Genomic DNA, 26,263 nt, shown 5'->3' with positions numbered 1-26,263 from the left:
AAACACTGAGTGTGGTGCAATTCTATTTTAGTAAAATAAAAACAAAGTGGCCAGGTGTGATGGCTCATGCCTGTAATCCCAGCACTTTGGAAGGCCCAGGTGGGAGGACTGCTTGAGGCCAGAACTTCAAAACCAGCCTGGTCAACATGGTGAGCCCCATCTCAATATTTTAAAGAAAAAAAAAACAAACGTGTTTTTTAATATATAAAATTTTAAAAATAAAAAGAAAGTATCTGATATTCCTGACACTCCCATGTATGGAGCACTAACCTACACCTTTTATTTCCCCAGAAGCCATTCAACACCTTATCTCATCTAACCTCGACCCACAGCCCCATGAGGAAGATCCCATTCCCACCCCCATTCCGAAGAGGGAACTGGGCTTCAGAGAGCTATGGAGCTTGGATGAGGGGGACTGGGATCAGACTGAGCTTGGTCCCTCACAAAATCCCTTCTCCAACCACTCTTTCATCCACGAGACAACGACCTGTGCCCAGCGGTGCTACTGAGTGCCCGTTATTTCCCACTGGCCACTTCTGGAAATTGAGATTAAAGTGACTTGATTTCTCAGTCACACTGTTTTGCCATATTTGGTCATTTTTACCACAAGGCTGCACTGTATTTAAATCAGAAAAATAAAATAAAGAAGCTTCAAAGATAAAGAAAATTTTATTGGCCGGGCGTGGTGGCTCACGCCTGTAATCCCAGCACTTTGGGAGGCTGAGGTGGGTGGATCACGAGGTCAGGAGATTGAGACCATCCTGGCTAACACGGTGAAACCCTACTAAACTCTACTAAAAATACAAAAAATTAGCCAGGCCTGGTGGCGGGCACCTGTAGTCCCAGCTACTCAGGAGGCTGAGGCAGGAGAATGGCGTGAACCTGGGAGGCGGAGCTTGTAGTGAGCCAAGATCGTGCCACTGCACTCCAGCCTGGGCGACATAGCGAGACTCCGTCTCAAAAAAAAAATTTTATTTAAAACTGGGAAAACAAGACAGTGATCTGGAAAACACAAAAATGATTCAGACCCAGAACATATCATGCAGTCTGTGATCTTGGGGTGGCCTAGCAGGGTGAACCTCCCATCCCCTCCTCAGCACCCCTGTCCCCATCAGGAGGCTCCCTGTCTGCTATTCCCTGGTCCTCCAGAGCAACTTACCGCTTATAGGGGTCATAGGTGGGGCTGTCTCGGCGGGCATAGCTACAGAGAAAAGAATGGGGTGGGACAAATTAGGGCTTAAGATCTCAGCAGTCATGAATTTGGGATAAGCCCGCCAACCTGAGGACCCAAAGCTAGGTACCTGGCACAGTGAGGGGGCTGCTGACCAGGTTGGGGGCCTCCCCTTAATTCCTCCACCCACCCCCACCTCAGATCTGTCCAAAGCATGAACTTAAGCCCCACCCTACAATGTCCTAGACCCATCATGACTCTGAGGAACTTGGACTTCAGCAGCTCTGGTTCTGCTTGGCCTCCTGACCCTAGAATGAAAGCATCCCTCCTCCCAATCCTTGTCTCTGGCTCTCACTGGGTCCGGGCTTACTAATGATGATGATGATGATGATGATGATAAGATTAAAATAGGCTGGGTGCGGTGGCTCACGCCTGTAATCCCAGCACTCTGGGAGGCTGAGGTGGGAGGATCACTTGAACCCAGGAGTTTGAGACCAGCCTGGGCAACACCGCAAAACCCCATCTCTACTAAGTATTTTTTATTTTAATTAGCTGGGCGTGGTGACGCATACCAGTAATCTCAGCTACTAAGGAGACTGAGGTAGGAGGATCGCCTAAGCCTAGGAATTTGAGGCTGCAGTGAGTCGTGATTACACCACTGCACTCCAGCCTGGGTGACAGAATAAGACCCTGTCTCTGGGGGAAGAAAAAAAAAAGAGAGACTATCACAGCTGAGGAAACTGAGGCCCAGAGAGGTGAAGTCACTTGTCCAGCATTACGTAGCTCATAAAGGAGGAAACTGGGATCCAAACCCAGGCCCTATGGCCACCCAGCCTGGGCGTTCCTGCACTACCCTCTGTGTGCCTCTGTGCCACCGCTGACAGCAATGACGATTGGTGCTATTCTTTAAGGAATGTTTCCGATACCAACCGCTGAACCTACAAGTTGTTTAAGCCTTACAGGAACTCTCAGTCACTCTCCTTTAAGAGATGTGGCAAAAAGAGGCATGGGTTTGCACAGGGCCTCTCCTCAAGGCCTCCTGACCCAGGCTGGGCTTTCCTCTCCAAGCCAGCCTGCCTCATCCAAACCTGTCCCAAGACCTCCCTGTGGGGACTGCCCAGCCCTCTCTCCAGGTAGGTGATAATGCCTTGTTTTCCAAAGGAAAAAATTGAAGCTCAGAGAGTTCGGGAAGTCACTTGTCCAAACTCCGACACAGGAAGAAGCCAAGCAGCAGAACTGGGTGAGAGTCCAGGGCAAAGCCTGTGCCCTCTCTGCCGCCTTGGTGAGAGCCTTATGCCGCCTGTGCATGGGCTCCTGGGAGTCTGGCAAGGGCCCCCAGTCCAGTAGGGTGAGGGGAGGGGCTGGCAAGGAAAGGAGTCCACATGGCCCTCAAGGCCGTTCCTACCTCTAAACCTTCACGATGGCCATGCATCGCCCCACTAGAAAGACTCCTTTCTCAAGTCAAATGCCTGCCTCCAAAGAGCTTTCTCAGGCCCTAAGCCCCTGCTCTCCTCCCCCAGATGCCAGCAGGGTGGGGGTTCAGGGAGAAGCCCTACCTGGGTGGGCTGATCTTGCGACCCCTCAGCCGCTTCTCCCGAAACTCTCTCCGCTGGCGTCGAGAGCGGCGTCCCTGGAGTAGGGTGGGTGCCAGGTTGGTGAGGGGGTGCCCTCCCTGTGACACACCCCTGTCCCCTTCCACTCCAGCCCAGACCTCACCGAGTACATGGCCTTCTCCTCCTCAAGAGCCTTGGCATGCTTGATGGCCTCTGCCTCCTCCTTGTCTTTCCGGAGCATCCTATAGAGGTGGGTGAGAATTAGGGTGGAGGATGGGGCAGGCCACAGGGTAAGGAGGACACAGACTGAGTCATCAGAGAAAGTGAGGGACCTGAGTCACCCCACGCCAGCCTGAGGTATCTTTCATTCAATGCCACTTATCAAGCACCCTCTGTGTGCCAGGTGCTATCTTAGGTATCAAGAACTGAGCACTGAAAAAAAAAAACAGAAATCCTCACCTGCACGGGCTTACATTCTAGGGGAGAAGATAATGAGCAAGGGAATAAAATGTGTGGTCCATTAGATGGTAGAGCAAAGGCAGAGGAAGCTGCAGTTTTCAAGAGGGAGCTCAGGGAAGCCACACAAAACAGGGTATCTAGAGAAAAACCTGGGGGAGCAAGCTGCAGACGTCCAAAGCGAACAGCAGACAGAGTGGCCCAGGGGCTGGCCCAGGCCTCTGCACTTGAGGAGCAAGGAGACTGTGCAGGCTGGGCAGCGGGGGATGGTGGCGGTTGAGAGGACCAGATGGGTAAGACCTTTCGGCCATGGTGAGGACACTGGATGTTCCTGAGGGAGGTGGGAGCCACAAAGGGCTCTGGGCAGAGGGTGCCATGCTCAGGCTCCGTTTCTGGTTCACTGCCCAGTGAGCTGGGACCATTCTGTGTGGTCTTGTGAGCTCAGCAGGGGGTGTGGCTCAGGGTAGAGGTACAACCAGCAACTGCCAGGATAAATAACCAGGGAATGAAGCCTCTCCACTAGAGGGCGCTGTCCCCCAGCCTAGGAATCCCCAGAGCTTCGAAGAGTCAGATTCGCCCCAGGTCGCACTAAGTAGGGCAGGCTGGGTGACTTGGGTGCAGCCTGTTTCTGCACAGATGAAGTGGGGCCACGACCACCATAGGCTCAGGGACCTGCATGTGTAAAGTCCTGGGCCCAGGGCCAGGCACACAAATGCTCACAAACAGGATGGCTGTCAATACCGGGAGTAATAGTGAGATGCCAGGGTGGGGCCCACAGAATGGGTAGGGGTGTCAGCAGGCAGGCCTCACCTGACGAAGTCACCGTCGGCCATGCCATAAGTCGTGGCCTGTTTGTTGAGATCTGCCACCTGCTCCTGGTTCAATTCATCCACGTCCACCTCCACGTCTGCACCAAGAGAAAGGCTGTCAGGAGCCACGGCCGAGCGAGAGGACAGGGGAGAAGGGGCAGTGCTCCAGGAGGCGGGGATGATGGGGCGCCCGCCAGACTGAGGGATTCTTCAGGAAGGGATGGCATCAAGTCTGGCTCATCTTGGCATGCCCTAGGCTGGCACTGGGCTTGCCAGAGGTGAGCACAACACACAGTGGACAGAGGCAGCTCGGGGACAGGGCTTGAAGGGGCAGATGAACGGAGGGAGGGAAAGAGAAGGGAGAGATGGACGGATGGGTGCAGGGATGGATGAAGGGATGCAGGGATGGATGGATGGATGAATGGAATGGAGGCAAGGAAGGAAGGAGGGATGGGTGGATGGAGGGAGGGAGGAATGGATGAGTGAGGCGTGTGGTGGGGTTGACGTGAGAGGGAGGACTGAACAGGGGCGGAAAGATGGCGGCTGGAGATCACGGTGGGTGGCAGGCAGGGTGTGGGTCACAGGTGTTTGGAAGCAGGGCGTGTGATAAGCCAGAGGAAGGAGGGCTGGGCGGAGGTCAATGTGTGGCTCCACAGAGTGTGAATAAAGAGCCAGCTACTGGGCTGAGCGCGGTGGCTCACGTCTGTAATCCCAGCACTTTGGGAGGCCGAGGCAAGTGGATCACGAGGTCAGGAGTTCAAGACCAGCCTGACCAATATGGTGAAACCCCCGTCTCTACTAAAAGTACAAAAATTAGCTGGGCGTGGTGGCGTGTGCCTTTAGTCTCAGCTACTTGGGAAGCTGAGGCAGGAGAATCACTTGAACCCAGGAGGTGGAGGTTGCAGTGAGCCAAGATCATGCCACTGCACTCCAGCCCGGTAACAGAGCAAGACTCCATCTCAAAAATAAATAAATAAATAAATAAAAAGAGCCAGTTGCTGGAGTAAGAACCAGGATGAGAAAAACAGAGAGACTTGGGGGTGGTTTGATCAGTGGGAATCCAGAGGGGAGGTGAATGGCAGAGAGGAGGGTGAACAGATGCCTGGCGGATGGGGGCTGACTCTGTAAGAGGATGAACACTTGTTTTCCAGAGGAGGGAAGAGAGCAGGAGAGAGGGGCAAAGGCAGAGAGAGGCCGGCCCAAGTGGAGGAGAATGGAGCCAACACCTAGGAGGGGAAAAGATCATAGAAATAGCACCCTAGAAATGAGAGATGAGTGAGGCAGAGGAAGGCCGGAACGGAGGAGGACAGGAGTGAGACAGGGGCAGCAGGAGGCTGGTGTGCCCTGGGGCGGGGTAGGGAGAGAGACACGGTTCGTAAGCACGGGGTGCCCCACAGAGGGTGAGGGACGAGACACAGAAACGATGCCCAGGGACTGCAGGTGGGGAGGGCAGAGAGGGGACCCCACCGATGTCGGGGATGACCTCATCTTCGTCCGAGTTGCTCTCCTCCTCGGCCGCTGACTCCTCCTCCTCTGGCTTTTCTGCCGCCTTCTCTACCTCGGCCACCGTGCTGTCCTCGTAGGTATAACCGATGGAAGCCTTCTTCTCTGCCAGCCTGAGAAAGGGGAGCTGGTAAGCCAGGGCCGTGCCCAGTGGAGATGAGGGCCCCAGGCTAGCCCCACACACCAGTCTCGAGTGCCACGGCCCCCTCCCCTCAGGCTCTCCCTCAGCCTAGGACCCTCTGCTCCTGCCCACACCCAGCTCCTCCCTCTTCCTCCACATCTGAGCTCTAGGGCCCCACCTGCCAAGAAGTCCTTGACTGGTACCCTAGGGTGGGTCAGCACTGTCCTGAGCTCCCCAGCCCTGCCTTTGTTGGGTCATCTCTGTTGGGGAAGGTCTGTCTCCCGCCTAGACCATGAGTCCCACAAGGGCACAGCCCAGAGTCCTCCTGAGCAGCCAGGTGCCCCAGCTTTGCCCTGAACAGAGCAGGGCCTGAGCAGGATCCTGAGGCTGGGGCCGTGGACGAGGGCTGAAGTCTCCAAGAAGCTCCCAGTACAGTCCCATGGGACCCCTCCCAGTGGAGGAAGGCGGCAAGCAGTCAGGGGTAGCAGGAGGGAAGGTGTCACTGAGGGAGCTGCCCAGCCCCGAGCCAGGGCTCCAGGCTACCGTGCACCAGGGCAACAGCAGCTGGCCTGGAGGAGAGCTAAGCCCTGCAGAGGGAATAGCGTGTGTGAGGGCGGGAGGCCTGCACTCATCAGACTGAGGTGGAGAAGAGAGAAGTGAGACTGCTCGGCCACTGCTCCTCAGAGGCAGCTGCTCCAGGATAAGGCCCGGGTCTCCCCAGCTACTCCTTGAGGGACGCGGCTTTAAGAAGCCTCTCTCCAGAGTGACATCAGCTAGGGCTGACTGCAAGCTCACTACATGGCAGGTGCTGGAATAGGTACTTCACAAGCCCCATCTCCTGCATGCCTCCCAACTCCAGGCAGTAGGGCCTCCTGCCAGCCCCATTTTACAGGGAAGCACAGCAAGGCTCAGACAATTCCCACTCAGGGCCTCACAGCCAGGACTCAAACCCAGGGCTGTCTCACCACAGGGCCTGCACCTCCCACCACTTCCCAAGCTGAAAATGTAACGCAGAGCCCTCGGCAAGCCGGGGCCCCCTGACAGGGCTTCTTCCTCTACACAGTTATTAATTGAGCACTGACTGTGTGCTGAACACCATCCTTGGTTTCGGGGAGACCCTGGTGGACAGGATGGAAGAGGCCATGCCTGGCTGGGGCTCCCAGCCCTCCTGCCTCCTCAACCCCCTGCACCCCAGACCCCGACTCACTTCTTCTTCTCATCTTCGCTGGGTCTCTGGAGGCCTCCGTACAACTCATCAATGTAGATCTGGTACAGGCACTGCTCCTCTGAGACTGCAGCAAACAAGAGACCCCAGGTCAGAGTGGGTTGGGGACACTAGGAATTCAGTGGGGGAACACAAGGGTGCGGTGGGGCAGGAAGACAGGTGCAACCCCAGTGCACCTTGGGGGGCAGTCACCACTTCCAGATAATCAAACTATGTCTGGTGGGACACAAGCAACTGCAGCAGAGCCTTGGACACACGACCTTGGTCAAGGGACTTAACACATCTGTGCCTCAGTTTCCTTTTCCGTAAAATGGGACCACGGGCAGAGTGAGTGCCTGGCCTGGTACTTGGGCACTCTACCACCATTCTCACTGTTTCTGGAGGCCTCTGGCTGGACCCTTCAGAACCATAACCTGCTCCTGAGTGCCACACGCCATTCTGACTGCACAGGTCACTCCACTGCATGCCTCTCTGTGGCTCATTTTAAGTTAGGTGTGGGCTGGGATGACCTGGGCTCTCCTGCACCCCCAACACCCAGCCTGGGGGACTCAACAATGTACCAGAGCCTTCCTGATCTTCCCTGCAGTGAGACACGTGTCCCTGACTCGCTGTGGGACAGTGGGTTGTAAGTCCCCTTCCTTCCTTCCCTCCCTAGGCCTCAGTTTTTCTTTTCTTATTTTTTTAAGACAGAGTTTCACTCTTGTTGCACAGGCTGGAGTGCAATGGCGCGATCTTGGCTCACCGCAACCTCCGCCTCCCAGGTTCAAGCGATTCTCCTGCCTCAGCCTCCCCAGTAGCTGGGATTACAGGCAGGCGCCACCGTGCCTGGCTAATTTTGTACTTTTAGTACAGACAGGGTTTCTCCATATTGGTCAGGCTGGTCTCGAACTCCCGACCTCAGGTGATCCACCGCCTCAACCTCCCAAAGTGCTGAGATTATATGCATGAGCCACCGTGCCCGGCTGGCCTCAGCTTTTCTATCTGGAACAAGAGGTGGGCAGGCTGGCAGGCCAGAAGGGGATGTAGCACGGCCCTTCCTTGTTCTAGCAGATACCCCAATTTCTACTTGTTGTCTCCAAAGCCCAAGAGAGGCCCTGCTGACCCTGTCTTGCACAAGCGCCCTCGCTCTCCCTGCTCCAGCCACACGGGCCTTCTCTCTGCCCCTCCAGTGTGCTCACAGTCCTGGCTGACACAGGGCTTTGCACAGGCTGCTCTCGGCCTGGAATCCTGTGGCCTATCCGTGCCTCCCAGGGAGCTTCTATCCAGGACTTCTGTCCTATTTTTCTCAGAGAATGGCACACTGTCTGTCACATCACCTTGGTTTGCAATTGGCATCACTGACATTGATTATGGAGCTGCTGCCCTCTCCCCTACCATTGCCACACCGCAGGTGTTCAATGACTGTTTGTGGAAGTGAATGAATAAATGCAGAGTGAGGCGAAACTAAGGGGAACCCTGGCTCTACCACCAGGAAGCCATGTGGCCTGGAATGATGGCAAAAACAGTATCAATTATAACACATGTCCCTGATTCTAAGGCCTCAGTGATCACTAGAATTTTGGCAGCCTCTGATTTTAGAAAATCAAAAAAGCATCTATCTTAGAAATAAACAAATACTGGACTAGCAAACCCACATGGAGGGCTGACTGTGCCAGGCTCGGTGCTGGGGTTTTATACACATCATCTCACTCAACTCTTACAACCACCCCACGCAACAAAATCAACACCACCACCCTTCTCGAGGAGGAAGCCGAGACCTGCCAGGTGGTAAGGGACAAACCCAGCAGAGAACTCCATCCTTCCCTTAACTCCACAGGGAATCCCAAGAAAGGGAATCTCAAGTCCTTCTTGGTAGGTGAGTTAGGAGCTTTCCATCAACAGGGAGCAGTGGTTAAGGACACGTGGAGAATCCCAGCTCCTTGGACAGGGTGTTCCCCCTCGACATTCTTGTCTGTAACATGGGGTGATGGCCAGGCGCGGTGGCTCACGCCTGTAATCCCAGCACTTTGGGAGGCCGAGGCGGGTGGATCACGAGGTCAGGAGTTCAAGACCAGCCTGGCCAAGATGGTGAAATCCCCGTCTCTACTAAAACTACAAAACTTAGCCGGGCATGGTGGCATGCGCCGGTAATCCCAGCTACTTGGGAGGCTGAGGCAGGAGAATCACTTGAACCCAGGAGGTGGAGGTTGCAGTGAGCTGAGATTGCGCCACTGCATGCCAGCCTGGGCAACAGAGTAAGACTCAATCTCAAAAAAAACAAAAAACCCCAAAACGGGGTGTCACCCCTACCTTGCTAGGTGGTTGTGCAGATGTAATGATAATACAGACAAAAAAGCCCAAGTCTGTTGGGATCCAAACCTCCCTGGGCAAGCCCAGAGCAGCGAGAAGTTTCCCTGAGCCTCTGTTTCCTCATTTGGAAAATGACAATGGTGATAAGGCTGGGCTGGGAGAAAATTCCTGGACATACATGAACACTTGGCAAATTGTCAAATGCTGGCAAATATTCATTTAAATCAAGGAGAAATTTCCTTTTTAGAGCTCACAATCTGATCTGTGCGGGCAGAGTAAAATACACAGAGGTAAAAAATCTGTTCCTGGCTGGGCATAGTGTTTCATGTCTATAATCCCAGCAATTTGGGAGGCCAAGGCAGGAGGATCACTTGAGCCCAGGAGTTCAGACCAGCCTGGACAACACAGTGAGACCCCATCTTTCTAAATGCTTTTAAAAACGTATTCTTGGCTGGGCGTGGTGGCTCACACCTGTAATCCAGCACTTTGGGAGGCCAAGGTGAGCAGATCACCTGAGGTCAAGAGTTCGAGACCAGCCTGGCCAATATGGCGAAACCCCGTCTCTACTAAAAATACAAAAAACTAACTGGGGGTGGTGGCGGGCACCTGTAATCCCAGCTACTCAGGAGGCTGAGGCAGGATAATCACTTGAACCCAGGAGGCAGAGGTTGCAGTGAGCTGAGATCACACCACTGCACTCCAGCCTGGGCAACAAGAACGAAACTCCGCCTCAAATAAATAAATAAATAAAAATAAAAACATATTCTTGCTATTTTCTCTATTTTTTAAAGAAAAACGGACCACAGAGTCAGAAGGCATGGTATATGGACGTGACTCTGCTGGGAACAACCCATTCGGCAGACATCCCCTATACCAAATCTAGAAGGGGAAAGAGATGCAGGCAAAGTGAGTCTATCGTAGAGCTGGAGCCGGAACCCAAGGCCCTTTAGTAGAAAGTATGTGGATAAAACTTTTCTTCCCAAACCTATCTAGGTCTTCCAGGCTCCAGGCTCAAACCCCACACCCCACGTCCCCCCACAGATCACTCACTGCCGGCAAAGTCGTTCTGCACCAGGCCTCTGTAGCGCTCGTAGTTACACTTCCGTTCGTCCGACTCCTGTTCTGGGGAGCTTTAGGGAAGGGCGAGACCTTGAAATCAGAGAGAAGGAGTGGATCCCCCCCCAAGCCAGCAGGAAGGGAAATGAGGCATCCCCCTCAGGCTCAGGGCGGTACCAAATAGGAACGGCTCCTAGGAAGGTGACAGGTAGGCTGGGAAAAGAACAGGGGCTCCTGGGTATGACGCTGTGCCTGGCAACCCCCTGGGAGGTGGCTTACATGGTGGTGAGCAGAGGGGGGGTGTAGTCGGGGATGTGGTCCAGGTGGGCACGGACATCGAATCGGTCAATCATGTTGTTGGTGTCCCCCTGCCAGGGCATCCTGAAGTGGGAGGGGAGCAAGAAAGCAAGAACCTCAGGGTCCATACTGCCCAGGACACAAAGCACCTGCTCCCTGCCAGCTGAGGCTTAGAAGCCTGGCCCTCAGCCTGCTTTGGTCCCCATGCCATGACCCTCACCTCAACCCCCAGCTCTCAGTCCCTTCTGTTGCAAGCCTCCCTGAATCCACATTCAGGCTCCTGGGACCTGAAACAGGCCAGTCATCTGACTGCCCCTGGGGACACCAGGGCCCCATTTCTCACAACCAAGCAATAGTGGGGAACTTGAACCAGGTCCTAGAGGGTATTTGAGGGGCGGGCCCCAGGCACCCTGAGCCAGCTCGGGTCTGGCAACCTACTCTCTGCTTCCTCTGGGCCTCTGGCCCTGGCTCCACCCATTTCTAAGTCCTCCAACCATGACTGCTACTCTGGGGCCTCCACCCCAACCCCTGCTCATTGTTCTTACACCCTGTGACTATCACCTTCATATGCGGGTCACACCTTCCCTGCCTCTGAGTCCCCAAAGGTCTGTCCATACTTCAGTCTCTGCTCCACACTCTACACCACCCCAGGTCCGTTTTGACTCCCAGACTTCAGACACTCCCCTGCCTTCCATATCAGTCTTACATATTAACAGGGCTCTCAGCGGCCAGGGCGACTGCAGAATCCAGGTGCACCTTGCAAGCTCGGCCATGTACCTGCAGGAACTGGGCTGGGTCCTTCTTCTGCAGGGGTAAACAGGACTGAGGTCACCACCCAACAGAGCTCCAAACCCCACCCCCTCACACACAACCGAGCTTAGCAGCAAGCTCACTTCTTTTTTTTTTTGAGATGGAGCCTCACTCTGTCGCCCAGGCTGGAGTGCAATGGTGCTGTCTCGGCTCACTGCAAGCTCTGCTTCCCAGGTTCACGCCATTCTCCTGCCTCAGCTTTCTGAGTAGCTGGGACTACAGGCGCCCGCCACCATGCCCGACTAATTTTTTGTGTTTTTAGTAGAGACAGGGTTTCACTGTGTTAGCCAGGATGGTCTCGATCTCCTTACCTCGTGATCCACCCGCCTCAGCCTCCCAAAGTGCTGGGATTACAGGCATGAGTCACCGCGCCCGGCCTGCAGCAAGCTCACTTCTAAGGTCAAGTGGGCCATACCTCAGAGGTGAACCAACCTGCTAACCTTCAGAAATAAGGGAATTGGCTAGGCATGGTGGCTCACGCCTGTAATCTCAACACTTTGGGAGGCCAAGGCAGGCAGGTCATCTGAAGTCAGGAGTTCCAGACCAACATGGCGAAACCCAGGCTCTACTAAAAATACAAAAAATTAGCTGGGCGTGGTGACACATGCCTGTAATCCCAGCTACTTGGGAGCCTGAGGCAGGAGAATCGCTTGAACCTGGGAGGCAGAAGTTGCAGTGAGCTGAGATTGTGTCACCGCACTCTAGCCTGGGCAACAGAGCAAGACTCCATCTCAAAAAGAGAAAAAAAAAGAAATTGAAGAAATAAGCTATTGGTTCCTCTCGAGGTGGTGGCTCAATCTTCTGCATAGCCAGTACGAAGACCTCGCTCTCTAAAATATCAGCCCCCTTAACTCTTCACCTCCCATCCTCCGGGCCGTTCATTTAGAGACTGGTGTGGACACTTCAGCCTGGACCAGACTGCATCCGCACATGGGAAGATGACCAACATCATTAGCCATCAGGGAAATGCCAATCAGAACCACAAGATACCACTTCACCCACACTAGGCTGGCTGACATGGAAAGGACAGACTGTAACAAGCAGTGGGTCGGGCATAGTGGCTCACGCCGGTAATCCCAGCACTTTGGGAGGCCGAGGCAGGCGGATCACCTGAGGTCAGGAGTTCGAGACCAGCCTGGCCAACATGGTGAAACCCTGTCTCTACTAAAAATACAAAAAAATTAGCCAGCCATGGTGGCAGGCGCCTGTAATCCCAGCTATTTGGGAGGCTGAGGCAAGAGAATCGCTTGAACCCAGGAGGTGGAGGTAGGTTGCAATAAGCAGAGATCCCACCAGTGCACTCCAGCCTGGGGGACAAGAGCGAGACTCCATCTCCAAAAACAAAAAACAAAACAAAACAAAACAAAACACAAGTAGTGACAAGAATATAGAGAAATCAGGATCTTCAACTGGAGTGCAATGGTGCGATATCAGCTCACTGCAACCTCCACCTCCCAGGTTCAAGCGATTCTCCTGCCTCAGCCTCCTGAGTAGCTGGGATTACAGGCATGCGCCACCATGCCCAGCTAATTTTGTATTTTTAGTAGAGATGGGGTTTCTCCATGTTGGTCTGGCTGGTCTTGAACTCTCGACCTCAGGTGATCCGCCTGCCTTGGCCTCCCAAAGTGCTGGGATTACAGGCATGAGCCACTATGCCTGGCCTACTACTTGTTATAGTCTGTCCTTTCCATGTCAGCCAGCCTAGTGTGGGTGAAGTGGTATCTTGTGGTTCTGACTGGCATTTCCCTGATGGCTAATGATGTTGGTCATCTTTCAATGTGTGGATGCAGTCTGGTCCAGGCTGGGCTCTGCCTCCAGGAGATTTGCTGACACATGTTGGGCCGCACCCCACCCCCCACCCCACTCCCAACCACTCAGCCCTCACAGGTGCTGGCCTGTCCCTCTCTGATTTCTTCCCTCCCCTACTCTGCTCCAGGCACACAGGCCCTCGCCTCACGCCATTCCTTGGGCATTCCAGACATGCCCCGTGCTTCTGCTCGGACCTCTGTGCTTCTGCTCCCCCGCTTATTTCAGATCTCCTCCTAAAAGCCGTCCTCAGTGACTCTATCTAAATAGCTCCCCACTTATCTACCCCAGCTCCTTCACTCTGTGGCTTTATTGAGAAGTAATTCATATACCACACAATTCACTCACTTAACTCCACTTGTTTTCTTTTGAGCACCCGCTACCACCTGCCACTGGACCTAATATTCATTCATCACCTTTCTCCCATGTTAGAACGTAACTCCCAGGAGGCAGGGCTCTGTTTTGGCTGCTATATCCCTAAAGCCTAGAACAGGGCCTGGCCCACAGCAGGCGCTTGAGAACACCCAATGAAGGAAAGACAGGAATAATCCTTACTAACAGATGAAGACTCTGAGCCCCTTCAGGAAAAAAACACCAGCTCCAAGTTTCCAAGCTCCTGCACATCCTCACTCTGTCTCCATCTCAGCCCTCAGCCAGCAGATGAGAAGGTGCAGTCCGGGCTGAAGGAGCTGAGTCACTCACCAGGACCACAGCTAATACCTGGCTAGTTTCAACCCCGCACTCACTATGTGCCAGGTGCTGGGCTGCTGTGACTCTCATTTCACACCTAAAGAAACTGAGTCTAAGGAACACTCAAGACCACAGGCCCAGCGAGGTGGCGCTGCTGGAGTCCAGCTACTCATGCTGCACCTCGCCTGCCTCCCTCGATTCCTTAGCTGATTCCTCAGCTGGGGCCACACAGCGCACCCAGCTCCCTCTGCCCTGGGACAAGCCAGCCAAGTCCAAGGCCAAGATCCCATCATACTCCTGAGGCTGCTCCAGGCCAAATGCCCAGTTCCCACAGCCAGGACTCATGGGACACTGTTTGCAGGACAGAATTTGGCAGGTACAGGGAAGCTACTGGCAGGGTCAGCTTCACAGAAAGGAATAAGCACTGAGCCGGGAGTAAACACCAGGAGTCCAGAGCCTGGTTCTGTTGGGAGATTCTGGAAAAGTCAATGAACCCTACTAAAAACCAGGCACTGTTTTATGTGCACTGTCTCACTCGAATGTCCCAACCATGGAAGAAACATACTATTCTTTTTCTTTTTTTGAAACAGAGTCTCGCTCTGTCACCCAGGCTGGAGTGCAATGGCGCGATCTCGGCTCACTGCAACCTCTGCCTCCCAAGTTCAAGGGATTCTCCTGCCTCAGCTTCCCGAGTAGCTGGGATTACAGGTGCCCGCCACCACGCTTGGCTAATTTTGGTATTTTTAGTAGAGACAGGGCTTCACCATGTTGGCCAGGCTGGTCGCTAACTCCTGACCTCGTGATCCGCCTGCCTCGGCCTCCCAAAGTGCTGGGATTACAGGCATGAGCCACCACGCCCAGCTGGTACTATTCTTATGCCCATGTTACAGATGAGTAAACTGAGGCTCAAAGCCATGGGGTCCACCTGCCTGACATTAGGAATAAGCAGAACTAGGATTCAAACCCAGATGGGCCTGGCTACAAAATCTGCTTCTTTTTATTTATTTGCTTTTTAAGAGTAATTTTTTGTTTGTCTGTTTTGAGACAAGAGTTTCACTCTTGTTGCCCAGGCTGGAGTGCAATGGCATGATCTCGGCTCACTGCAACCTCCGCCTCCCAGGTTCAAGCGATTCTCCTGCCTCAGCCTCCCGAGTACAGGCATGCACCAAAATGCCTGGCTAATTTTTTGTATTTTTAGTAGAGACGGGATTTCACCATGTTGGCCAGGCTGGTCTCGAACTCCTGACCTCGTGATCCACCCGCCTCGGCCTCCCAAAGTGCTGGGATTACAGGCATGAGCCACCACGCCCAGCAGGTACTATTCTTATGCCCATGTTACAGATGAGTAAACTGAGGCTCAAAGCCATGGGGTCCACCTGCCTGACATTAGGAATAAGCAGAACTAGGATTTGAACCCAGATGGGCCTGACTACAAAATCTGCTTCTTTTTATTTATTTGCTTTTTAAGAGTAATTTTTTGTTTGTTTGTTTTGAGACAAGAGTTTCACTCTTGTTGCCCAGGCTGGAGTGCAATGGCATGATCTCGGCTCACTGCAACCTCCGCCTCCCAGGTTCAAGCGATTCTCCTGCCTCAGCCTCCCGAGTACAGGCATGCACCAACCTGCCTGGCTAATTTTTTGTATTTTTAGTAGAGATGGGATTTCACCACGTTGGCCAGGCTGGTCTTCAACTCCTGACCTCAGGTGATCTGCCTGCCTCAGCCACCCAAAATGCTGGGATTACAGGTGTGAGCCACCACATCTGGCCAAGAATAATTTTTTTATTGTGGTAGAAAACATTTACCATCTTAACATTTTTAAGTGTACAGTACAGTAGTAGTAACTACATCCACCCTGTGGTGCAACAGAGCTTTAGAACTTTTTAAATCTTACAAAACTGAAACAAAACTGAACTTCCCCTTTCCTCCTCCCCCCATCCCTGTCAACCTGCACTGTATTTTCTTTTTCTGAGGGTTTGACTTTTCTTTTAGGTTTTTTTTTCTTTACCAAAAATACAGAAGGTTTCACGAATTTTTGTGTCATCCTTGCACAGTGGCCATGCTAATCCCCGTATCGTTCCAATTTTAGTATATGTGCTGCCGAAGTGAGCTCCCTTCCTCCCTTCCTCTCTCTCTCTGTTTTTTTTTTTTTTTTTTTTGAGATGGAGTCTTGCTCTGTCACCCAGGCTGGAGTACAGTGGTGTGATCACAGTTCACTGCAGCCTGGAACTCCTGGGCTCAAGCAAGGTTTAACTATTTTAGATACTTATCAGCGGATCATACAATACTGTCTTTTTGCGACTGGCTTATTTCACTTAGCATAACATCTTCAGGGCTCATCGATATTGTAGCATAGGACAGGATTTCTTTCTTTTTTAAGATTGAATAATATTGCGTTATGTGTAGAGACCACATTTTCTTTCTCGATGTATCCCTCAATGGACATTTAGCTTGCGTCCACCTCTTGGCTATTGCTAATAATGCTGTAATGAACATAAGTGTATAAGTACCTCTTCAAGATCCAAAATCCACTTTTTTTTTTGGAGACAGAGTTTTGCTCTTGTTGTCCAGGCTGGGCTGCAATGGCGTGATCTAGGCTAACCACAATCTCTGCCTCCCGGGTTCAAGCGATTCTCCTGCCTCAGCCTCCCAGGTAGCTGGAACTGCAGGCATGTGCCACAACGCCCAGCTAATTTTGTATTTTTAGTAGAGATGACGTTTCTCCATGTTGGTCAGGCTGGTCTCAAACTCCTGACCTCAGGTGATCTGCTCACCTCAGCCTCCCAAAGTGTTGGGATTACAGGCGTGAGCTACCGCGCCCGGCCCAAAACCAACTCTTAACCACTGGATTATCCTGTCTCTAGGATCAGATTGTGTCAGAGGAGTTCATGAAGTTACTCATTCATTCATTCATTCATTCAACTGTTAAGCAGACCTTGTGCTAGGGTATGGCAGTAACTGAGATAGCCCTGGCCCTGCCCTCATGGGCTCACAGTCCAGTGTGGGACACAGACTTGTCCCCATACAAGGACAACCTAGAGTGGACAGCGCTGAGATGGGGGCCCACAGGGGGAACACCTGACCCAGACTTGGGGGTCAGTCTGGAGCTTCCTGGAGGAGGCGACGCCTGAGCTGCGACCTGTTTACTTCTTATTTCCGTATCAACAGAGGATTCTGTTTCTTTATCCAAACCACTGATTAAAAAGGAAAGTTGACAAGGACAGAAGCAATGACAGAACCGGAGTCTGCTTGGGACTGAAGACAGGGAGAGAAAGCAGGCACCAACGACAAATCAGGAAGACAGAAACCAACTGCATCTGGACATACTCATTCAGCCTGCCACAATCTACCGCAGCTTCACTGACACTCGCTCCACAGCCTCTGCTCTCGGCCCAAGGCTGAGATGAGAGTCCCCTCCTCAAAGCAGCCATCAGCCACGGCCCAGCCATACTCCACAGCTTGGCAGCCCAGATCGGAATGCAGGTCACGTTCACATACAGGGACAAAGGCCGCTTGTACAGGCCTGCACCACAAAGCACCCATAGACATTGGTTCTTTGAGCTCTTCCCCATTATCCAGTGAGAGGGGTTGGTCGTCACCACTGTCCTGAGGGGGAATACAATGCAGCAAGCTTCCCTGCTAACAGGGAGGGGGCCTGGAGTCTCAGCTCCAGCCTTCCTTCCTCTGCACCATCCCTCCACCTGGATCCAAACTCCAGTTCTATCAGCAACAGTAATGTCAATAACAAGAGCTAATATTTACTGAGCGATAGCGACGCTGGCCAGGCTGCTCTCAGTGGTCCATGTGTCCAACACTCCAACAACATCGAAGGACATGCTCTTGTCTCCACTGTTAGTGGCAAACCATTAATTGGCAACCAACATCTATTCCCTTTGCTACAACAGTAACAGAACTCCAAATATATCTGGTCAGGGCGACCCAAAATAAAGTCTACACCTCTTAGCCTTCCTCACGGCTGTTCATAAGACTACTTCCTGGTCAGCAGGGGAGGAGTGGAAATGTTACGGGAAAACATCCCGAAACTTTTTTTTTAAAGACAGGGTCTTATTCTCCCACTCAGGCTGGAGTGCAGTGGTACAATCACAGCTCACTGCAGCCTCCACCTCCTGGGTTCAAGAGATTCTCCCACCTCAGCCTCTTGAGGAGCTGGGACCACAGATGCACGCCATCATGCCCGGCTAATTTTTGTATATTTTGGTATAGACGGGGTTTCACCATGTTGTCCAGGCTGTTCTCGAACTCCTGGGCTCAAGCAGTCCTCCTGCCTCGGCCTCCCGAAGTGCTGGGATTACAGGCGTGAGCCACTGCACCTGGCCTAGAAACTTTCTCAACAAATGGCATGAGCGCTTTGCCCCTTTTCCTCCCTTTTTCCTCCCTGCTGGATAGAATGAAGACATGATGGCCAGAGCCTCTTAGACCTCGATGCAACACTAGGAAGAGAAGCTGTGCCCAGGAGAACAAAACAGAAGCGGCTTAGGTCCCCGAGCTAACTGGTTACCTCTTGGCTTTTCTGTGGCTAAGAAATAAACATCTATCTTGTTTAAGCCACTGACGGATGCTCTAGGTTTGTTAGAGCCAAAGCTGATTGTCCATGTGACATCCTTTCACATGTGGAAGAGGAAATGGGCTCAGGGAGGCAGTCACTTGCCCACGTCACACTATAGATAAGTGGGATCGCTAGAATTTGAACCCAGAGCCCCATGACTCCCAAATTCTAAGGACTAACCATGATGGGATCTCACCTCCTGGCTGTGTTGCCTTGGGCAAGTCACCTCACCTTTCTTTTTTGAGACAGGGTCTCACTCTGTCACCCAGGTTCCAGTGCAGTGGTGCAATCACAGCTCACTGTAGCCCCACCCTCCCAGGTCTCATCTTGCCTCAGCCTCCCAAGTAGCTGGGACCACAGGCGCATGCCACCAAACCTGGCTAATTTTTTTTTATTATTTTTTGCAGAGATGGGGTCTTGCTATGCCTCATCTTTTTGAACCTCTATTTCTGCATGATAAGGCGCAGGTGAAAAGCTTAGAGAGGTTAAGGGTCAGAGACTGGGTTATAGTGCCAGCTCTGCCCTCATGCTATGTGACTGTAAGCCACGTATCTCCGTGCTCCAGTTTTGTCCTCTGTAAAATGGAAATAGTAAGAACCACCTCCTAGTCTTGGGTGTGGCTTTGATGAAGCGGAGACACAAGCCAAGTAGTTAGCACAGTGGTTACCACAGAACTGCCCAACAGCGTTAGCTGTTATCGTGGCATCACCTTTAACACAGGCATGATCAATACCTACCTCGCAGGCCTGTTCAGAGGACTACTATGCCAAGCTGGTGAGCACTGGGTCTGGCGCACCATGGGCCCTTAATAAATGGCAGCTAGGCTGGGTGTGGTGGCTCACGCCTATAATCCCAGCGCTTTGGGAAGCCAAGGCAGGCGGATCACTTGCAGTCAGGAGTTTGAGACCAGCCTGGCCAATATGGTGAAACCCTGTCTCTACTAAAAATACAAAAATTAGCCGGGCGTGGTGGTGGGCACCTATAGTCTCAGCTGCTTGGGAGGCTAAGGCAGGAGAATTGCTTGAACCCGGGAGGCGGAGGTTGCACTGAGCCGAGATCGTGCCACTGCACTCCAGCCTGGGCGACAGAGCCAGACTCCATCTCAAAAAAAAAAAAGGTAGCTATTCATTCCTGAGTGCTGTGTTCCTAGGCCACTTCTGGGGCCTCAACTATGACCAACAGAGACCCAGGCCTTGCCTTGATGATCACATCTTTCTGACACTATCGGAGATGAGTTCTCCCTTTAGCCCCGTGGTTCCTTCCTGGGTGGCAGAGGTAAGCAAGGAGCTCTCAGAGCTTCCTCTTCTCTGCTGAGTGGAAGTAAGAGCGGTCTCTGTCTCACAGGTGACTGTGGGGATTCAAAAAAAATCCTGCATCTCTCACATGGCCTGGGGGTGCCTGCGAAGGATCAATTAAATGGTTAATTACTATTGTTAATATTGTTTTATTCATCTATTCTTTCAAACCATATTTGATGGACCCAACCCTAGGGTACAAACGTGACCCAAATATAATTAGTCCCCAGTCTCACAGAGCTGGGTATGTGCATATACGTATGAATGGAAAAAATTTTTTTTTTTTTTTTTTTTTTTGGGACGGAGTCTCGCTCTGTCGCCCAGGCTGGAGTGCAGTGGCACTATCTCGGCTCACTGCAAGCTCTGTCTCCCGGGTTCATGCCATTCTCCTGCCTCAGCCTCCCGAGTAGCTGGGAGTACAGGTGCCCACCACCACGCCCAGCTAATTTTTTGTATTTGTAGTAGAGACGGGACACACACACACACACACACACACACACACACACACACACAAAGTATTCCTTATCTGAAGTGCTTGGGATCAGAGGTGCTTCAGATTTTTTCAGATTTTGGAATATTTGTCTATTCATAATGAGATATCTTAGGGATGGCACCCAAGTCCAAAGACCAAATTCATTTATACTTTATAAGCACAGCCTGAAGGTAATTGTATACAATATTTTAAATAATTTTGTGCATGAAACAAAGTTTGTGTAAAGTACTTATATGTGAAACTTTCCACTTATAGTGGGGCATCATGTCAGTATGCAGAAAGTTTCAGATTTTGGAGCTAGCCGGGCGTGGTGGCTCACGCCTGTAATCCCAGCACTTTGGGAGGCCGAGGCAAGCAAATCACTTGAGGTCGGGAGTTCAAGACTAGCCTGACCAACATGGTGAAACCCTGTCTCTACCAAAAGTGCAAAAATTAGCCAGGCATAGTGGCACATGCCTGTAATTCCAGCTACTCAGGAGGTTGAGTGAGGCAGGAGAATAGCTTGAACCTGGGGGGTGGACGTTACAGTGAGCTGACATCATGCCACTGCACTCCAGCCTGGGCGACTAAGCAAGACTCTGCCTCAAAAAAAAAAAAAGATTTTGGAGCATTTCGGATTTTGAATTAGGGATGTTCAACCTGTGTATGCGTATGTGTGTGCGTGTGTGTATACATACATACACACACATATATATATATATATAAATTTTTTTTTTGAGATGGAGTCTCACTCTGTTGCCCAGGCTGGAGAGCAATGCAACCTATGCCTCCCGGGTTCAAGCAATTCTCCTGCCTCAGCCTCCCGAGTAGCTGGGATTACCATTTACTCCTGTATTACTGCCCCAGCCTCTTCCCTGGTCTGCTGGCCTCCAGTCCTGGCTCCTCCAGTCTGTCCTCCCTAGAAGAGTCCAGGAGGCCTTTCTAAAGCACAAAACTGACCCTGTCCCTTCATTGCTCAGAGCACCTCTATGGCTCCTAAGTGCCCTTGAGAGAAAGCCCAGGCTCCTCACCACCTCCAGCTAATTTCTGTATTTTTAGTAGAGACGAGGTTTCATCATGTTAGCCAGGCTGGTCTCAAACTCTTGACCTGAGGTGATCCACCTGCCTTGGCCCCCAAAATGCTGGGATTACAGGCGTGAGCCACCACACCAGGCCCATGTATGTGTATCTTAAGTGTGTTAAATTCCACAAAGGGGAAGGAAAGGGAGCTATGATTATGGCATTTTTAGAGGACACCTGACTGAGCTTGGGAAACAAGACTTCTCTGAGGACTGAGATCTGACAGATAAGCAGTAGTTAACCAGGTATGGGAAGAGCTCATACAAAGGTCCTGTGGCTGGGGAGCGCTTGGGTCAGTGGAGGAATAGCAAGGAGGCCAAAATGACTTGTGCAAAGGAACAAGGCAGAGTGTGGGGTGGTGTGAGTCTGGAGGAAGGGCAAAGGCCAGGCCATGCAGGACCCTAAAGGCCACAGTGAGGAGCCTGGGCTTTCTCTCAAGGGCACTTAGGAGGCATAGAGGTGCTCTGAGCAACGAAGGGACAGGGTCAGTTTTGTGCTTTAGAAAGGCCTCTTGGACTCTTCTAGGAAGGACAGACTGGAGGAGCCAGGACTGGAGGCCAGCAGACCAGGGAGGAGGCTGGGGCAGTAATACAGGAATAACTGGGAAAGGTCTATATAAATGTCATCTGACAGGAACACTGAACCTAGAAAACAGGTGCCATTTCAAGCTGGGATCCCAAGGATACACAGGAGTTAAATAGGTGAGGGGGGGTAATATAGGCCAAAGCCCTGTGGTGGCAGAAATAGAAGGCCAGTGGAGCTGTCCGAGTATGAAGCTGAGTGGTCAGACCACAAGGGTCTTTTAGGCCAGGGATAGTTTGGTCTTCCCCGCAAAAACAACTGAAGCATCAGACAGGAGAGGGAAGTGGTCAGGTTTCACTTAATATTCACTCCTTTTTTTTTGAGACAGTCTTTTTTTTTTTTTTTTTGAGACAGAGTCTCGCTGTCGCCCAGGCTGGAGTGCAATGGTGCTATCTCAGCTCACTGCAGGCTCCGCTCTGCCCCCCTCCCCGGTTCACACCATTCTCCTGCCTCAGCCTCCCGAGTAGCTGGGACTACAGGCACCCGCCACCTCACCTGGCTAATTTTTTGTATTTTAATAGAGATGGGGTTTCACCGTGTTAGCCAGGACGGTCTCGATCTCTTGACCTTGTGATCTGTCCACCTCGGCCTCCCAAAGTGCTGGGATTACAGGCGTTGAGTCTTGCTCTGTCACCCAGGCTGGAGTTCAGTGGCACAATCTCCATGCACTACAGCCTCCTCCTCCCGGGCTCAAGCAATTCTCGTGCGTCAGCCTCCCAAGTAGCTGGGACTACATGCACACACCACTAAGCCTGGCTAATTTTTGTATCTTTAGTAGAGATGGGGTTTCACCCTTTTGGCCAGGCTGGTCTCGAACTCGTGACCTCAGGTGATCCACTTGGGATTACAGGCGTGAGCCACTGTGCCAGGCCAACTTAATACTCACTCCTATTGTGTGCCAAGCCAAATCTCAAGAGTGGCTGAGCTCTTCTGGGAATGGGGAACACAGCAATAAGCGAAACAGACATTCTGGAGGTGGCCAGTCTAACGTCAGGACTGCTCTGAGGGTTACAGAGACTTCCCTTTTTCTTGCTAACACCGGATCGGCACTGGGAGGCCACACCAAACGACACAGTATGCTACAACAAACAGAAGCCCTTGGGATCCCACCAATGATTATCCTCAAGAAAAGATTAATGAATATACTCCTGAGGAAATGAGCCTCTTGTCTTGACATACTTCCAAGCCCAGATTTTACCAGGATGACCAGCTGTGCCCCCCAACCCAGGGTCCCTCACCCCAGACAAAAGGCCAGTTACTCACGATCTTTTCATAATACTCCCGTCTCCGCTCCGCCCTCTTCTTGTAGTCGACCATCATGCCTCGAAGCTTCCGCTCATGCTTCCGAGCCTCGTGCCACATTGTGGTGAGGCCAAGCCTGGGGCCTCAACCTGAGGGATGAAGGGACCAGGAAAGTCAGATGGTCTGTGAAACCCGTATGGGCAGAATCAAAGTCATCTAACAAGTTGGTGGCAGAGTCGATCCCAAACAACACATCTCTTAGCTTCAGGGAGCAGAAGTGAAGCTGCAGAACAGTATGCCAGATGTTCAAGTCCATCCCTAACAACTTCGATCTAGAAGCTTGGGCATTCTGAAAAACCCTCAGGTGATTCTGAGGTGAGCATCACTGGGAAAGGGGTGTCCTAGATTCCACGCGCTGGAGTCGGGAATGAAAGGTTTTGAAACATCAGCAGTGTTTGAAGTAGGGTCAGAAGGCAAACCCTGAGCACTTAAGGCTGGAGCTCAAGAGAAAGAGAAGAACTGAAAAGGCTCCCACTAGGGGCCATGCGTGGGGTTGGGTATGAGTCTGGGTGGTAGAGGGATAAGGAGAATAAGGATGAAGGCAGGTGGAGGAAATCGGAGAAAGCTTTTAAGGGAACAGTGCAGTTGTATGAAGGTGGAGGTCGAGGACAGGTGAAGGGCGTGGCGGAAGATGAAGATGCTAGAGGGAGTGGGAACACGGGGAGGGAGTGTTGCAAGGAGACCAGAGTGAAGCTGAGGTCTAAAGATGGGATCTAGATGGCGGGGTGGGGAGAGCATCCAAAGAAAAAGAGCGTAGAGCCTGAGAGAGGCGGAGCTGGCTGACAGGAGGGCGTGGGCTGAGCTTGGGGGCAGGGCTTGCGGGAAAGGGCGGAGACCGAAGGTTTGGACGGGGCTTGTGGATCGCGTCGCGGCCTGAGGATTTGGGCTGGGTTTTTTTTTTGTTGTTTTTTTTTTTGACAAGGGGGCGGGGCCTGTGATAAGCTGCTGGGCCGAAGGCCGAGTTCGACGCGGCAACTTCTGGCCCACAGCCGGGGCACGGGCTCGGCCTGAGGCCCGTCAGGCCTAATGGGGTGAGGGACGAGCGATCCTCGGGGCCGGGACGCAGCAGAAGCCCACAGCAGCATGGGGAGAGCCTGAGGAAAGGGAGAAGCTGGGCTGAGGCCTGCCCGAAAACCGGGAGGTCGAGCCGCAGCCTGCACTCACCGGCTGGTCGCCGCCTCCCACCGCTGCGCTCGCGCGCGGCCCGCACCGGAAGCGGAAATGAAAGGCCGCGCTAGGGGGAGGGGGCGGAGCATGGTGGAGGGCCGCGCAGCGCACTTCCGCCGACGAGAGAGGCGGGTCCTAGAGTCGAGAGGGGCGGGATCCCGAGGAAGAAGTGGGAGAGCGGAGAAGGGAAGAGCTTGGATGCTTTATCTTTTTATCTTTTTTATTTTATTTATTTATTTAATTTTATTTTTTTGAGACGGAGTCTCTCTTTGTCTCCCAGGCTAGAAGGCAGTGGCGCGATCTAGGCTCACTGCAACCTTTGCCTCCTGGGTTTCAGCTATTCTCCCACCTCAGCCTCCCGAGTAGCTGGGACTACAAGCGCGCGCCACCAAGCCCGGCTAATTTTTGTATTTTTAGTAGAGATGGGGTTTCACCATTTTGGTTAGGCTGGTCTCAAACTCCTGACCTCAGGTGATCCACCTGCCTCGGCCTCCCAAAGTGCTGGGATTACAGCCATGAGCCACCATGCCCGGTCTCATTTTTTATTTTCATTTTCATTTTTTATTTTTTTGAGACACAGCCTCGCGCTGTCGCCCAAGCTGGAGTGCAGTGGTGCGGTCTTGGCTCACTGCAACGTCCACCTCCTGGGCTCAAGCGATCCTCCCACCTCAGCCTCTAGAGTAGCTGGGATTACAGGCGCGCAGCACCACGCCCGGCTAATTTTTGTATTTTTTGTAGAGACTAGGTTTCGTCATGTTGCCCAGGCTGGTCTCAAACTCGTGAGCTCAAGCGATCCTCCTGCTTTGGCCTCCCAAAGTGCTGGGATGACAGGCCTGAGCCCCCAGCCTGGAGGCTTTCTTTGCTACTAAGGGACTAGGGCGTTTCCCAAGCCCAGAACAGACGAAACCCCGGAGGCTCAAAAACTCATCTTTATTGGGAAGACTCTGAACAACCAACCTACCCCCCACCTTCAAGTCTGGGGAGGGAGGGCCAGGAATCTGCCCCCTCCTCCCATATGTACAATCTTTTCCGAATCCTACTGGAGAAGGTGCCCCCACATGTGGGGACAGAGGCAGCTGTAACAAGCTAGTGCACGGGAGCCATGTCCCTTTTCCTCTCCGGACTCAGTTTCCTCATCTGTAAAATGGGCTCAAGGGGAAACCCGTGCAACGGAGCTTCTCGCCAAGGCTGAATATGTCCACTTCAGAAGCATGAGGAAGGGCCAAGGGGATGGGGGTGCTAGACATCCTGGTTGGGATTGCACGGCTCCTCCACCTCCCTCCCCACCCAGTGCCCCTCCTCTGGCATCGCGGGGCTACGTGGCTTCAGGCCCCGGGGATAGGAGGCCGCCCCCAAAGGCCGCCTCGCGGTAATGATTGGGGAACATGTTGCTGCCCACAAGGCTGGCGGTGCCTCCATCCCCGGGGCCCGGGGCCTGGTACGAGTCCAGTGTCAGTGGTTCAGGGCCGGGGGTCTCCCCAACCACGGCCCCGGCACCTCCGCTGCACACAACAGCGCTAGCGTGTGGCGGTGCCGGGGGCAGCAGGTCCAGCATGGTGAAGAGTGTGGGGGCCGTAGGGTCGTAGGCAAAGCCATCGTCCAGGAGGTCAGGCCCGCCAGGGGGCTCCAGGCCGGGCAGGGACACGGTGCCAGAGAAGAAGTCAGGGTCTGGCAGCAGGGCTGACGGCGGGAGGAACGGGCCTACGGGGATGAAGACAAGAGAAGTGTAGTGTGATTTAGGGCTAACTTCTGATCAGGCCCTAAATCAAATGCCCTACTCCCTGCAAAATGTGATATCAAGGTGGCCTTTTTTTTTTTTTTTCTGAGATGGAGTCTCATTCTGTCACCCTGGCTGGAGTGCAATGACGTGCTCTTGGCTCACTGCAACCTCTGCCTCCCCAGTTCAAGTTGATTCCCCTGCCTCAGTCTCCTGAGTAGCTGGAACTACAGGCCAGGCATGTGCCATGCCCAGCTAATTCTTATCTTTTTAGTAGAGACGGGGTTTCACCATGTT

General features: G+C 52.7%; 2 protein-coding genes and 1 pseudogene across 11 annotated transcripts in view, besides 4 other annotated features; all 3 read right to left on the bottom strand.

Annotated features, from left to right (window-relative positions):
* Positions 1 to 24,310, bottom strand: part of CLASRP (CLK4 associating serine/arginine rich protein) — a 31,912-nt gene extending 7,602 nt beyond the window's left edge. For 4 of the 6 annotated variants that reach the window (NR_103529.2, XM_011526396.2, NM_007056.3 and 1 more), the window contains exons 1-11: positions 24,247 to 24,310; positions 23,044 to 23,171; positions 11,187 to 11,284; positions 10,463 to 10,564; positions 10,178 to 10,257; positions 6,821 to 6,905; positions 5,457 to 5,605; positions 3,991 to 4,087; positions 2,888 to 2,966; positions 2,728 to 2,801; positions 1,160 to 1,201 (exon numbers count right to left, since the gene is read on the bottom strand). Coding sequence is in view for 5 of the 6 variants with exons in the window: in XM_011526396.2 (XP_011524698.1) it covers positions 1,160 to 1,201; positions 2,728 to 2,801; positions 2,888 to 2,966; positions 3,991 to 4,087; positions 5,457 to 5,605; positions 6,821 to 6,905; positions 10,178 to 10,257; positions 10,463 to 10,564; positions 11,187 to 11,284; positions 23,044 to 23,142 (905 nt within the window). In the remaining variant the exon portion in view is untranslated. Of the gene's footprint in view, positions 1 to 1,159; positions 1,202 to 2,727; positions 2,802 to 2,887; positions 2,967 to 3,990; positions 4,088 to 5,456; positions 5,606 to 6,820; positions 6,906 to 10,177; positions 10,258 to 10,462; positions 10,565 to 11,186; positions 11,285 to 23,043; positions 23,172 to 24,246 lie in introns of those variants that run through there. The other 2 variants (NM_001278439.2, XM_011526397.4) reach the window with 2 other exon arrangements.
* Positions 6,012 to 6,081: an enhancer, noted in NCBI's record as "active region_14778". NCBI's record gives its function as "activates an Ori minimal core promoter by ATAC-STARR-seq in GM12878 lymphoblastoid cells {active_cell/tissue: GM12878}" and the evidence as "EXISTENCE:reporter gene assay evidence [ECO:0000049][PMID:35858748]".
* Positions 13,457 to 14,011: an enhancer, noted in NCBI's record as "H3K27ac-H3K4me1 hESC enhancer chr19:45552602-45553156 (GRCh37/hg19 assembly coordinates)". NCBI's record gives its function as "activates a minimal SCP1, AML or CMV promoter by ChIP-STARR-seq in naive H9 embryonic stem cells {active_cell/tissue: H9 hESC(naive)}" and the evidence as "EXISTENCE:reporter gene assay evidence [ECO:0000049][PMID:30033119]".
* On the bottom strand, positions 15,795 to 15,895 carry RNU6-611P (RNA, U6 small nuclear 611, pseudogene; annotated as a pseudogene).
* Positions 17,290 to 17,584: an enhancer, noted in NCBI's record as "tiled region #2438; HepG2 Activating DNase matched - State 5:Enh". NCBI's record gives its function as "activates a minimal TATA promoter and a strong SV40 promoter by Sharpr-MPRA in HepG2 cells {active_cell/tissue: HepG2}" and the evidence as "EXISTENCE:reporter gene assay evidence [ECO:0000049][PMID:27701403]".
* Positions 23,767 to 24,636: an enhancer, noted in NCBI's record as "H3K27ac-H3K4me1 hESC enhancer chr19:45541977-45542846 (GRCh37/hg19 assembly coordinates)". NCBI's record gives its function as "activates a minimal SCP1, AML or CMV promoter by ChIP-STARR-seq in naive H9 embryonic stem cells {active_cell/tissue: H9 hESC(naive)}" and the evidence as "EXISTENCE:reporter gene assay evidence [ECO:0000049][PMID:30033119]".
* Positions 25,163 to 26,263, bottom strand: part of RELB (RELB proto-oncogene, NF-kB subunit) — a 36,729-nt gene continuing 35,628 nt past the window's right edge. For all 5 annotated transcript variants that reach the window (XM_047439189.1, NM_006509.4, XM_005259128.3 and 2 more), the window contains one exon: positions 25,163 to 25,950. In XM_047439189.1, the coding sequence (XP_047295145.1) occupies positions 25,565 to 25,950 (386 nt within the window). In that variant the 3' untranslated portion in view covers positions 25,163 to 25,564. The remainder of the gene's footprint in view (positions 25,951 to 26,263) is intronic.

Source organism: Homo sapiens, chromosome 19 (assembly GCF_000001405.40).
Source record: "Homo sapiens chromosome 19, GRCh38.p14 Primary Assembly".
Classification (NCBI taxonomy): domain Eukaryota; kingdom Metazoa; phylum Chordata; class Mammalia; order Primates; family Hominidae; genus Homo; species Homo sapiens.
The sequence above is the reverse complement of the archived record's forward strand: the minus strand, read 5'-3'. Positions and strand labels throughout refer to the sequence as shown.